Source organism: Homo sapiens, chromosome 3, assembly GCF_000001405.40.
Source record: "Homo sapiens chromosome 3, GRCh38.p14 Primary Assembly".
Classification (NCBI taxonomy): Eukaryota; Metazoa; Chordata; class Mammalia; order Primates; family Hominidae; genus Homo; species Homo sapiens.
In genome coordinates, this window is record NC_000003.12 from 8,566,819 (window position 1) to 8,580,439 (window position 13,621).

Below are 13,621 nucleotides of genomic sequence, written 5' to 3' on the forward strand. Positions count from 1 at the left end.
TGGGATGGAAAGTATTTATATCCCCATTTTACAGATGTGGAAGCTGAGGCACAGGGGGATTAAGTAATTTGCCCAAAGTCACAAAGCTGGTAGATGTCTTAAGTGAAAACTCATACCCAGTTCTTGTTTGACTCCAATACTAGAAGGCCCATTAAACATTATGCTCCTCTGCACTTCCTGAGCCTCAGGGGATCCTTACAATATGTCTATTCCAAGTGTCACTTCATTCCAAGCCCAAGTGACCCTCTGTATTCTTGCTCTTGATGATTGGCCATTGGCAGTTTATCTATCCTTAAGCTTTCTTCACCAGGGTGTGTAATCCCACCTTGGAACTAAACTTTAGATTTGACCCAAAGAGTATCACAGATACCTAGATAAGTAAAACCTGCCTGTAGTGGAGGATTTTTTTTATTCCGTCTGAGAAGCTAAGATGCAACCACAACCTTCACCAAATATTATCCTTACTGCCTCAAATTTATGCCAGATTTTTCCACTAAGGCTTTAAAAGGTCAAAACAAGAATAGGATGGGATGAACCACCACCCTATAACTTGTCCTAGATATACCGTCTCTACCTAGGGACAGAAACTGAGTCATGCATTTCTCCTGCTCCCCTCCCCAGATAATATTCGCTGAGGACTACCAGCGTGTGGAAGATCTGGCCTGGCACCGAAAGCACTTTGTCTGTGAGGGTTGTGAGCAGCTGCTGAGCGGCCGGGCGTACATCGTCACCAAGGGTCAGCTTCTGTGCCCAACTTGCAGCAAGTCCAAACGCTCCTGAAGGGCTGCCCACCCACAGCCAGAATCCACAGGATCCCACCGAGAAGGAGAGCCAGGTGTGCCGAGACCATCCTAAGGGTCCGATGTGACAGCAAGCAAGTGAAATAAACAATGATTTGCTTTTCAGTGAGAATATATATATGAGATATATATAGATATATATTCTAGGTTGGGTGGTGGTAGATCCTTGAGGGTCAGTAGTTTCAAAACCAAAAATATTCTAAGAAGTCTTAGGATGGAGTTCCTTTTCTTTCTGTTGTTGTTTCCCAGCTACAACCAACTAAAGACACAAATGGCGTTCTGCAAGGGGACTCTGGGAGGAGTTTTCCAGAATGCAATTCCGAGTGAGCAAATCGCATAGCTGTAGAATGTGCGTGCTTTTTTGTGGACACAGGAGCTCCTCCAGGAGCAGGCTGGGATCCCAACTATCGCTTGTTGCCTCTTTTTCAAGTGGAATTTGAATTTTAAATAAACAACTTTTTTTGGCATGATAAACAGATCAATAAAAGTTTTGTGAATTCCACATACACCCTTATCTAATTATTTACACCATGGCAGTGATTTTGCAACACCCAGTGCTGGCAGAAAATATAGTAAAATACTAATGAGCCTCTCTATCAATGTATCTCATCAGACTTCCACTGGGAGTGTAGGCTTTGGGACAGAACCCCCGCCCCACCTGCCTATTCCAGATACTCCCAGATCACTAATGTAACAAAGGTATCATGTTTTATGGTACACTGAAAAGTGGCCTGCTGGGAACTGATGAGCTTCTCTTTAGCCAGGGACCTGACTCAGCTGCCCTCAGAGCCCAGGAAAATAGCGAATGAACCCCTCTGGGAATAAGACCAGTACTGGGAAACCACTGAACAGGGGCCACCTAAGCTCCACCAATGGGTGCCACATGGGATGTGGTGACTAATGTGGGCAGATCTTTAAAAATACAGCACTTTTTCAAATGCCAAAACAATCAGAAACAAAATTTTTTCAATAAAAATTAATCTAAAATTTAACAATGCCACTTTTATGAGAAATCTCAATTTTTAATGTTGCCAACTAAACATTGAATGAGTCACGTAGAATAGGTCTTTGGGCCAAATTGTATCTCCATTTTATGGTCTCTCTGAACATTTTCAGCTCTTAAATTAATTTCTTTCCCACAGTTTCTAAGAAAAACATATTTTTCTACTGGGAGTATAAGGATGAAAAAGACACAAGTCCTAGGAGCTTACGGTCTGGTCGCCAGTGGTTTTCTTTCTTGAACTTCCTCATCTGCTGCCAGTTTTCTTTAACCTCACCATCCAAATTTCACTCTGACCATCTCGTACCTAGAAAACCCCCATTCATGTGCTTTATAAGTTTCACCAAAGCCATTGCTATATCCTCCCAAGGCAGTGGTTTTCTGCTCCCAGCTCCTTTCTCTAGTCACCCTCAGTTTCCTCGTCATGTTCATCTTCTCAAAGATAAGTTTCAAGTGTGTCATTTCCTTCACTCAATCTCCATGGCTCTTCATTGCCTGCCAAGTTAACAACCAAGTCCTCATGGACATTTGAATCCTTCCAAAACTTGGCTTATGTCTTTCTGGCCTTGGAGCCCTTTATTTCCCTAGATTTCTAGTTCCCTATTTCTTCCTAAGCATGCAGAAGCTCCCTCTGATCAAGCCCTTCCCTTTGCTTTTGCTAGTTGAAGACTGGCTACCTGAAGACCAACTCTGGCTGTTGAAATTCTATTCATCCTATAAGGTGCTTCTCAAGCATAACCTGCTTCTCTGGCACTTTCCTGAAGCACCAGTGAAATATTCACCAATTCATCATTCATTCATCCATTCCACAAGTATTTCAGTGAGCACGGCAAAGTTCCAATTCCCATGCTGAATATAGGGGATGCGGGGTGCACAAAAAGAACAGTGACCCCTACGCCCATAGATGTTACGGTCTGTGGGGGAGATGGGCCTCAAGCAAATATTCTCACAAGTCAATGCAAAATTACACTACTGTGCATGCTATAAAAGGAAGATTTGTGTTACTATAATGCATGTAAACTGGACTTAGGAATATCGAGAGAGGTGCCCCTGGGAAAGTGATGCTTGAACTGGGCTGTAAAGGATGAGTAGCCTTGCCAGGCATAGTGGCTCAGGCCTGTATTCTCAGCACTTTGGGAGGCCAAAGCGGGTGGATCACTTGAGCCTAGGAGTTCGAGACCGGCCTGGGCAACATGGCAAAACTCCACCCCTACAAAAAATACAAAAACTATCTGGCATGGTGGCACACCTGTAGTATCAGTTACTCTAGAGGATAACCTGAGCCCAGTAAGTCAAGGCTGCAGTGAGCTGTGATCATGCCACAGCACTCCAGCCTGGGTGACAGAGTGAGACCCTGTTTCCAAAAAAAAAAAAAAAGGATAGGTTGCCTCTAAGTTGGCAAAGAGAGGAAGGACAATGGTTAAAGATGGATACATGAATGCATGTGCAAAGGCCCTGTGGTGGAAGCCCCACCAGTTTATTCAACACCTATTTGCTGGTGTTGGAGATACAGTGGTGAACATGGCCCATGGATGGAACTGAAAGAAAACTGGTGTGGCAGGAGCACAGAGCATGGTGAGGAGGGTGGGCCTGGGGCATGAGAGGCAGGCATGGCCAGCCTGCTCCAGTTCTGGGGCAATTCAAAAGACTGGTCTCTGTTCTAGGAGCAAGGGGGAGCCTTCAAACAGCTTTAAGGAGGGGGTGGTGATGGCTGGACAGGGAGATCATGAGATACGTCATCTCTTCTCTGTTGAAACCCCAGCACAATGCATGATTGACTTGGTCCACTGGGTCACACCATCATGGATGGGCATTATCTCCCACAACAGTCCCCATGGGGCACCACCCAGCACCTGCCCCTGCCTTTCTCATGTCTATTAATGACACCCACCCTTGCATTTGGAGCACCTGAATCATCTCTGCCACTTGCCTTCATATCTGATGGGTCACTCAGTCCAGTCCTTTCTCTCCATCCTCGCTTTCACTCCATCCCCAAAGTCATATCTCACCTTGAACATTTTCTGCTCAGACTGACAAGTCTCCCCGACGGGAACTCACCCTCTCCACCCACCACTTCCAGATGAATTGCTCAGAAACACACCCTCATCTTGCACTCTCCTCTTCAAGAACAATCAGGGGCTCCCTGTTGCACACACAGAAAAAAATTGAAACTGTTTTACCTTGCAGTCGAGTTTCTTATTTTTCCTGCCCCAACCCTCCTTCCTTCCTGTTATCCTTTCAGAAGCCAAATGGGCAGTTTACAGTCACAGTGTGTGCCCCTGCTTTCCTCACCTCTGTACCATCACTCACGCTGTGCTTTTTGCCTGCAATTCCCCACACTGTGTTTAATTGCTGCCTCTGCTGGGGGGCTGCAATAGCTGAGTGGGATTCTGTACCAGAATTGGAAAGATCCATGTTAACTCTTGCCTGATTCTATCTCCCATGTCAGCAGGAAGAGGGGCTGCCATCCCCACCCCTCCCACTCTCTAGGAAGACTTTCCTCCCTCACCCTTCCCTTGGGGTGTTTTAGGTGCCCTTTATCTGTAAGTTCATAATATCCCAGGCTTACAGTAATTCTTCCAAGGCCTTTATTGTGCTATAATTATTTATTCATGAAAGCCTTCCCCTATGAACTTCTAAAGAATAATCGTATTATCTTTATTTCCCCAACTCTTAGTACAAATCCTGGCAACTAAATGAAAGAACAAACAACCTGGGGTTCTGGGATGGTTCGTCTTTGCTGATGGCACTGTGTTCCAAAATGGCCAAGGTCAAATATAAAAATTTCAGACTGAGGTAGACACTGCTGGCAGCCTACACATTGCCACCACACCCCACTTCCTTCTTCCTAGTGGCAAGGAAGCAGTGGGTGGAGAGGGTGAGTTCCTGTCAGGGAGACTTGTCAGTCTGAGCAGAAAATGTTCAAAGTGAGATATGACTTTGGGGATGGAGACAAAGGGAGGATGGAGAGAAACGACTGGACTGAGAGAAGAGCCCACTCCCCTTTATGTAAATTGGCTTTGCCAACCTGGTCTGCAGCTGGAGAAAGGCCATGCGCCTCTATTACCAGCCAGTGGGGCTTCCGCCTTAGGAGGGTCTTAGAAAAGTGTTTTTCCTTAATGAAAGGAGATACTGTGCAGTAAATAGCCCTGCTGTTGTTTTCTTTTCTTTTGATAGAATGTCAAACTTACGAAAAAAGTTACAAGAAGAGAACAAAGAGCTATTAGAGGGTGTTGCTGACACAATGCTTTATCACTCTTGAATATTTTCGTGTGTAATTCCTACAAATAAGGACATTCTCCCACATAGCCACAATACAACCATCAAAATCAGGAAGTTAACGCTGATGTGTTTCTACCATGTAATCCTCAGATCCAATTCAAGTGTCACCAGCTGTCCCAATAATGTCTTTTATAACAAAAACATTCAGTCTAAGATCACTCATTCTATTTAGTTATCTTGTCTATTCTTCAATTTGGAAGTGTTCTTTGTTCTTTCCTGAATGTTCATGACCTTGACATCTTAGAAGATTAAAGGTTATTTAAAGTTGTTGAGTTAAATATCCATTAAATTAGGTTTGTCAGATATTTCCTCGAAATTAGATTCAGCTTATGCATTTTTTGGAAGGAATACCACAGAAGTGATGTTGTTTTCTTTCTGTTGCATCCAATCAGATGATACAGGATTTTGATTTGTTCCATTACTGTTGACATGAATTTTGAACATTTGATAATGCCAGTATCAGCCAGATTTTTCCATTGTAAAGTCATTCCTTTGTCCTTTGTATTTAATAAGTATGTTTAGGGACTTTGAGACTATGTCAATGTCCTGTTCTTCATCAAAATTCCACTCACTCATTCTTAGTATTCATTGACGTTTACTGATCGAACTAATTATTATTATGATAGTTGCCAAATGTTGGTTTTTCTAATTCAATCATTTCTTTAGTGTTTATTAGCATTCTACTATAAGGAAAAGCACTATCTTCTCCCCATTTATTAATTCACATATTTACATCAGCTTGGAGTTATTGATTTCTATTTTATTAAATAGTTTATAATTGATTACCATCCTTATTTATTTTAATGCTCAAATTGTCCCAAATTATGGCCAAAGAAAGCTCCTTCAAACTGGTTGCTATGTCCTTTTGACATGGCCCATCATTCTTTAAACACATTTTACATCTGGCACAATAACGTGCTACATACCCATCTTGTATTTTTCCTGCCCCATCTTTGAAATCAGCCATTCTCAAGGGGTTCCTTCTTAATCTGGCTGTTGTTGTGTTGGAACTCCTGGTACCATCTTAGAACCTTAAGGAGACAAGCGAACCAAGCCAATAAGCTTTCCATGATGCTGCTTAGAGTTAAACAGAGCCCAGGTACTAAGTTATGTCATGGAGACAGTGAACTAACCTCTGGACTGCTTGCTACATGAGACAATTGATTTTCTTATTTTCTATGTAGGGTGGTACATTTCCTCATTTTGAGATATTTCTTCAACATATAGCTTTTCATTAGTGGGGATTTTGTCAATTATAACCAAAAACAATGTGACGGATACCCAAGATGTTTCATGTTGTAGCTTGGGTGAATTACACATTTCTGAAGCCATTACACTTCCTAGTTTATTTGGATTTAAGTTGACAAATAAAAATTGCATATGTTTATGGTCTATAACATGGTGTTTCGATATATGTATACATCGTGGAATGGCTAAATCAAGCTAACATATCCATTACCTCACATAGTTATTTTTTGTGGTGAGAACATTTTAAAAATATTGTCTTAGCAATTTTCAATCAAGCCTGTCCCATGGAGACACAAGCAATAGTGACATGAGCACTTGACTCGCTGGGTTATCAGGCTTTGGCTCCAAATGTTTGGCTTCAAATATGAAAAAGTTACATGAAAGATGAAACTATGCAATGGCATGGCTGTTGGTCATTCACATCTCTCTCTGCCAAGAATGGGGATGACGCTGTTGAAGGAAGAAATGTGTTTTCTCCTTTTTCTCAAGTGATATTTGCCTTAGGTCAGATTCTACTAGTTTAAAGCAAAACGATCTCCTGGTCTGATTCCTTTGGGTCTCTAATAATGGAAACTGCAAGGATCAGCATAAAGTGTTCCTTTGTTCTGACGTTGGTATAACATTGCTTCTTGAAAAATGAAAGTATTTGGACATACAGACAGAAGCAATATTATTCAGGTCTTCCTTGTTGCAAGTGAGGGAAATCCAATTAAAACTGGTTTAAACCTAAAAAAAAAAAAAAGAAGAAAAGAAAAGAAAAAATATGAGAGGGGTTTTGCTTTCTGGAATCTGCTTTCTAGTCAGAAAGTGCAGAAGAAGGGCTAGCTTCAGGAACAATTGGATGCAGTAGTTCAAATCACAAGTTAAGTCTCTGCTTCTTTTCTCCATCTCTCTTCTGTCTTCCTCCACACTGGCTTTATTCTTAGGTAGGCTTACCCAGATAGTCATAAACACAGCCACCAGTGGCAGCTGGGCTCACTTTTGTCCTTGGAGCCAGTGAGCCCATGAAAAAGGAGCTTCTCTTTCTGGAGCTTCCCAGGGGTAACTTTGATCAGCCAACAAGGGTCAGTCCTATGCTTATCCCTTGACCAATCTCTGTGCCCAGAGGGCAGGGTACTCTGATTGGCAATACCTTCATCGTGGGCCAACCACTGTGGGGAAGGGGGAGGGATTAGAAAAGACAGCCACACCCAAATCTCATGAAGCAGTCCCCTTTATTTTAAAAAAGTCCCTGTGAGAGCAACAGGAGCAAAGCATGGAGAAGAAGCAATCTTGGAGAAGCTGGAAGAGAACTGACCCAAAGAATCCAAGAGACTAAGACTGTGCAGGGTTGGGGAACGGAAGCTCACACAGGAGGCCTGGACAGAGCTGCAGCAGAGCCAGGAGAGAAGCCAAGTGGCACAGCTCATCTTGAAGTAATTATAATGCCACTAAAATTCTCATTTGTATTAATTTTTTTTAATTACTGGCAAGATAAGGCAAATGTTTTTAAAGGCCTAAATAAAATGATATTCCCTGAAGGAAATGTCCAGAGGGTTTTATTTTGGCCTTATTTTTTTTAATTCTATGAAAGATGATGGAGACTTACTAAACTGTTTTTATGGGGAAAGTTTAATAAATGTGAAGGATGTACTTCCATGAGTTCAAATATGGAAAGTTTTAAAATAGAAGAGTGACACAAGCAGCTAATGATCCCAACATGTTAGAGTATGCAGGCTGCTGGCCCAGATTCCGGTTTTTAATCAAATATATAAATTATGAAATATTGTTACAAGGAATCGCAAGCCTTTGCCCTACAAGGGAATGGTGTGTGCCTCAGTTGACAGGAGAGCTCTGCGGAGTTCATTTTCTGCTGATAAGGGGACAGGGAGAAAGCAGACGGGCAGTCATCCTTGGCCCACACAAGGGGACCATCCAGTGCCAAAGCTGGAGGGAAGAACATGCTCCAACCAAAGACCCAGGCCAAATATAACAGTGTTTGTCTGTTCAGTATGTCGACCATGTGGTCTCTGTCTGCAGGGGAGGTGTCTGTGACATCTTGGGCCAGAGCATGCAAACACTGAGCTTTCAGCTTATTCCCACCTGAAAGGCCTTCCTTCCAGCTGCCTCTGCCTTCCAAGTTTAGCACAAGCTCTCCCTTCTTTAGGAAGCCCCACTGATTCCTCCAGCTATTCCTTTAGGTTCTCAGAGTCTCAACTGACTATGTAATTGATTTGGTCCTTGATCACACCGTACTCATGTCAGACCCTGTGTTTTGTCTTCTGAACAATGGGAAGCTCACTCACTCATTAGTAGATTCTTGTATTCATTCAGTCACTGGGCATTTACTCAGCACCTACTATGCCCCAAGCATTGTGCTAGGCCTTGGAAATGCAACAGTGGACACAGCAGACACGGCTCTTGTTCTAAAGGAGTGACGGTCTGTCAGAGGAGAGCAACAAGTAGACAATTATCTAATAAGACAGGCCTGAATCCCAGCAGAATCCCACCTTGTGTTCCTTTCCAAGGTATCCCTCAGCCTCCCACAAATAGTCATGGCAGGAGTGGTCTTTCCCACTCACTGACCAAGTAGATTCAACAGGCCTGGCAGTGTAGCTTTGTCATTAACAGCATGGACTTAGGAGCTAGACTGCCTCTGATTCTAATCTGGGCACCTTAGATGAGTCATTTCACTTTGTCCCCAAGTTTCTCCATTATAAAATGGAGATAGTAATGGTGTTACTTTGTGAGGTTGTTCTGAGGATTTAATAGGTTTATGCATGGTTAGCTTTAGAACACCTCCTGGCACATAGTGAGTGTTCAGCAAGTATCAGCCATTGCCCTTGTTGTTGCTGTTGTTTGTATTACCTAGCCGTGAACCCTGGAAGAAGATGACTCACTTGCAATCTCTTCTACTCTTCGAAACTGCAATTTAAAAAAAATTATTATGTAAGTTTCCTAAAATCTATCAGAACAATTGCTCACTAATTTTCTTCTTTCTAGTCTGAGACCTTCCAGCAAATGCTCAAATATTACCTCTCCACCAAGAGAGACATTTCAGCATCCTGATACACACAGACACACAAACACACAGACACACACACACAATGGTGAATGTAGATGCTCTTCTGGTAGAGTCTACCTGCCAGTTCAAAGCCAAGCGTTGCCTGTGCTGTATTTGCACCGTGCATATTCTAAGAATGGCAAGTGGCTGGACTGACCCGGAGACTCACACTGGGTCCCACAAAGTGTTAAGAGACTACCTGGGAGGGGCTGGGGAAACATTATACTAACAGGGCCATGCTTTTATGTCTCACCTAACTCACCCTAGGATTCAAACTCAGAAATTGAAATCTCCAAAGGCCTTCCATTTAAAAAGCGGGGACCAGCACGTACCACTAACATCACTCCAGGAAGGTGATCTTCTAGAAAATTGCCTCTCAAACCTGAGTGCTTATAAGAATCACCTGGGGAGATGGTTCAAATTTGGACGCTGATTCGGCAAGCCTGGATGCTGGTTTAGCAAGCCTGGAGGAACAAGGCCAGAGCGCAATGGAGTTGAAAGGGCCGATTAGAAGTCAGGTTATCTGACCTCTCACCTAAGAAGTGGGGAAACAGACTTAGAGAGTAGAAGTAGCTATATCAGTATCACACAGCAAGCTCCAAGCAGAACCAAGAACACAGCCTGGGTCTTTCACTCCCAAGCAAACACCCATTCTGAGTCTACTAAACCAGGGATCAAATCCCGGTGCCGGTGCCTGCAAGAGCCAGGCGGTTTGGTAAATGTCTGATGCAAGCCAGCTGCCAAACAGCAGGGGCTCAGCTGCTTTGGCTCACTTTTTAAAACACTAGCAAAACATGGTTGTTGAGGACAACTGGCCTTTGGGCAGCCAGTTTGCATTCCCTATAACCTTAGACCAGTGGTCAGCAAATTGTTTCTATTAAAAGCCAGATAGTAAATATTTTAGACTTTGCAGGCCACATGAGCTCTATTGCAACTACTCAGCTCTGCTGTTGTAATGTGGAAGCAGACACTGACAATCTGTAGACAACTAGACATGGCTTTGTTCCAATAAAACTTTATTTACAAAATCAGGAGGTGGGCCAAAGTTTGCTAACCCCTGTCTTAGCAGATTAGACAACTTGGGGAGAAAATTGTCTCTATTTATACAAAGTGTGACTGATATTATAGAACAGTATTTTAAAAATGTAACTTGTGTCTTCAAGGTCAATAAAGTGTTGTCTTCTGTGAGCTAAAAGGAGGGCAGAAGTTAACAGTCTTGTTTCTTCAATTCCAAAGTACGCATTAAATAAAAACATTGCATTCCTAAAATAGGGATTCATCTTAGAGTTGCAGCATACATTCAACACAGTAGCGTTTCTCCAGCCCTCTACAACATTGTTTCTTAACTGAGTGGTATGTACAGTGAAGTGAAAAGTCATATATAAAGTGACATCAGATCAGTTTGAAACAACTTGTATAAAGAAGTTCAAGTCTGCAGCAGTAAGCTGTGGTCACGCCGCTGCACTCCAGCCTGGGTGACAGACCAAGACCCTGTCTCTTTAAAAAGAAAAAAAAATGGGTAGGCATAGTGGCTCAACACCTGTAATCCCAGGAGTTTGAAAGGCTGAGGCATAAGGATTGCTTGAGCCCAGGAGTCCAAGAATGGTCTGGGTAACATCATGAGACCTCACCTCCACAAAAAATTAAAAATTAGCCCAGCATGGTGGCATGTGGCTGCAGTCCCAGCTACTTGGGAGGCTGAGGTGGGAGGATCACTTGAGCCTGAGAGGTTGAGGCTGCGATGAGCTGTGATTGTTCCAGCCTGGGTAACAGAGCAAGACCCTGTCCAAAAAAAGAAAAAAAAAAAAAAAGAAAGAAAAGAAACCAGCCTCAGAGAGGGAGCTGGTATGAGACATTATGTTTGGCTCCTCAGCTAACAAGGTGACAGGATATGAGAAGTTGAATTTCTAAGTCAAGGAAGCCAACACATTTCCATCTAGGAGAAACTCCATGTCTTGCCTTGGTAAGCGAATTGAATTCATTTGGAACCAGCAGTAGAAAACTGCTGTTTCTTTTCCAAAGTAAAATACAATATATGACCAGTATCACTTCGCTTAAGGAAGTCAATTCAGTAGTGGCTGAATTATCACAAATTCCAAATTAGTATGTGGGTCTGAGAGAATGAGCCAGGATGCACCAGTATATTCACATTTTTTAAGGAAAGCATTTTTTAAACAAAGGGTCATTAAAGATAGGGGCCAAGAAGAAAATGCCAAAAATTCTAGAGGGAACACCCACAGTCTAAATCTAAAACACCTTATCTTGGAATGACGAAACAAAAGTTTAAATAGCCCCAGAGACTCTCGCTATTAACAATGAGAAGTCGAATCATTCAAGTCTAAAAATGCCTGGCAGTCTACTACGGTCCTCAGGATGGATGCCTGCTTTTCTTTTGACTTTCATTTCTTCTTCCATATTCAGAGTCACACAAGTGCCTTCTGATTGGGTACATGTATTTTTTTGGTTCCATTTGATTGGGCTGTCAAGCTACAAATTAGAATGAGATCCTCTGGACTTTGCTAAAATTGTGATTGCTTTCTATTGTCTTGAGTAGGAATCCTCTTGCATGAGAATGTGCACATGGCCCCAGATATAGGCCACCCATTGTCCATGGGGAGTGACTTTGGGAACTGACTTCACTTTAGGGGTCAGGGCACTGTTCACTCTAGGAAACTTCTTTCCACTTAAAAAGTTTAAAGGCAAACTCAGTTCCAGGCAAAGGTTTCATGACACAATGTGGTGTCCTCCATGCTAGAAAACTTTCCAAGAGGAAAAAATAACTATAATAATAAACAAGGCTAATCTGGGTGTTGTCTGTTCCATTTATAATGCAGAATTAGAACTATTTTCCTCACTGATGGCTTTTACCAAAAAAACTAAGTCATCTGCAGGCAAATGAGCGGCTGTCTGAAAAGAATGGACTTGAGCTAGTGACTGCTATCTTAGAGACTCATGTAGCATCAGACTTCCTTTCTGGGAGTGGGGGAGTAAGGGGGTTACACACACGCCCCTAATTTGAGGCCAGACATCTGGGCTCTTCTCCCCTCCTGTAAGCGTTTCAACGGCTGTGTTTTAGGAAAAGGTCTAGGAAGAGGAACAATGGCAGACACTATAACCCAGCACCAAATGACTCATCAGAGAAGTCAGTGCCAGGTGTTACTTAGAGAGAGGGACTTTCTGAGGTCTCTGAAGACTAGAACACCGTTCTGATGCTCTCTCGCTACACCCATCCCATAGCCACCCTGGTATCAGGGCCCTGCCAGCAGAGTAGCTTAGGCTTTTCCTAGCCAGAGTCTTCTTTCAGCCACCCAGGGCTACCTAGTTCCTGGGGACTCTAGATATAAAAAGAAGCCCTGGCCAAGAAGGCAGAAAGTCTGAGTTCAGATCTGAGCTTTACCACAGAGTGGCTCTAAACCTTCATGTTCAACTGTACAATGGGACTATCCGTCCTATCCGCCTCTCAGGTAGATGAAATGGGGTAGGCAATACGAAAGAGCTGTGTACATTGTCAAGAGCCCTATTCATATGTGGCCTGCTTAATGGCTCCCTCCTAGTCTGATTTGAGATGAGCATTCTTTCAGCAGCATTTAATGGGCTAAGTCAGATACATTCAAATATTTTTTGAACTATTAATGTCAATGAAATTTTACACAGTCTCTCCATATATAAAGTAAATGAAAGTAGGGCTGCAAGAATCAGCAGGAAGAGGGGAGCTAGAGACTTCCCCCAATACCACCCGACCCATCAGCCTCTCATGGCAGCATCCAAGGCCTCTGCACAGACCCCTAGGGCTCCCAGCGACCAGGTGCAAAAAGCTCTAGACCAGACCATGCCAAAAGGCTCATTCCTGGCTACTGGCAGCATTAACAGAGAGCAGTAGAAGCATCATGCCCCTCCCAGTCTGCCAGTTCCTTAAGGAAGGACCTTGAGAGGGGAGAGAAGGCAACTTGACAGCATGGTTCAAATCAAAGAGGCAGGAAAGGGGCTGTCATCAGGGGCTTGGAGGGGACTGCAAAAAGTGCCTACAGATGAGGCGGGAAATTTGGGCAAAGGTTATCAAGGCCACGTTTAATTATCCTTTCCAAGTCTTGCCCAGCCCAGCCTTTCTGCACACATCATGCAAAAGAAAACCTCCAGCCAGGCGCGGTGGCTCATGCCTGTAATCCCAGCACTTTGGAAGGCCAAGGTGGGTGGATCACCTGAGGTCAGGAATTTGAGACCAGCCTGACCAAAAAGGTGTAACCCTGT

General features: G+C 43.3%; 1 protein-coding gene and 2 long non-coding RNA genes across 5 annotated transcripts in view; 2 read left to right on the forward strand and 1 right to left on the reverse strand.

The window, feature by feature from the left end:
* The window catches only part of LMCD1 (LIM and cysteine rich domains 1), a 72,846-nt gene extending 64,996 nt beyond the window's left edge, over nucleotides 1–7,850 (forward strand). For all 3 annotated transcript variants that reach the window (NM_014583.4, NM_001278234.2, NM_001278233.2), the window contains one exon: nucleotides 622–7,850. In NM_014583.4, the coding sequence (NP_055398.1) occupies nucleotides 622–780 (159 nt within the window). In that variant the 3' untranslated portion in view covers nucleotides 781–7,850. The remainder of the gene's footprint in view (nucleotides 1–621) is intronic.
* Nucleotides 4,964–7,850, forward strand: LINC00312 (long intergenic non-protein coding RNA 312). Its single transcript, NR_024065.3, has one exon. It is a non-coding gene; the product is annotated as a long intergenic non-protein coding RNA 312 (long non-coding RNA).
* LOC107986009 (uncharacterized) overlaps nucleotides 6,414–13,621 on the reverse strand; it is a 38,712-nt gene continuing 31,504 nt past the window's right edge. Inside the window, exon 5 of the long non-coding RNA XR_001740420.3 lies at nucleotides 6,414–7,056. This is a non-coding gene — a long non-coding RNA (uncharacterized LOC107986009). The remainder of the gene's footprint in view (nucleotides 7,057–13,621) is intronic.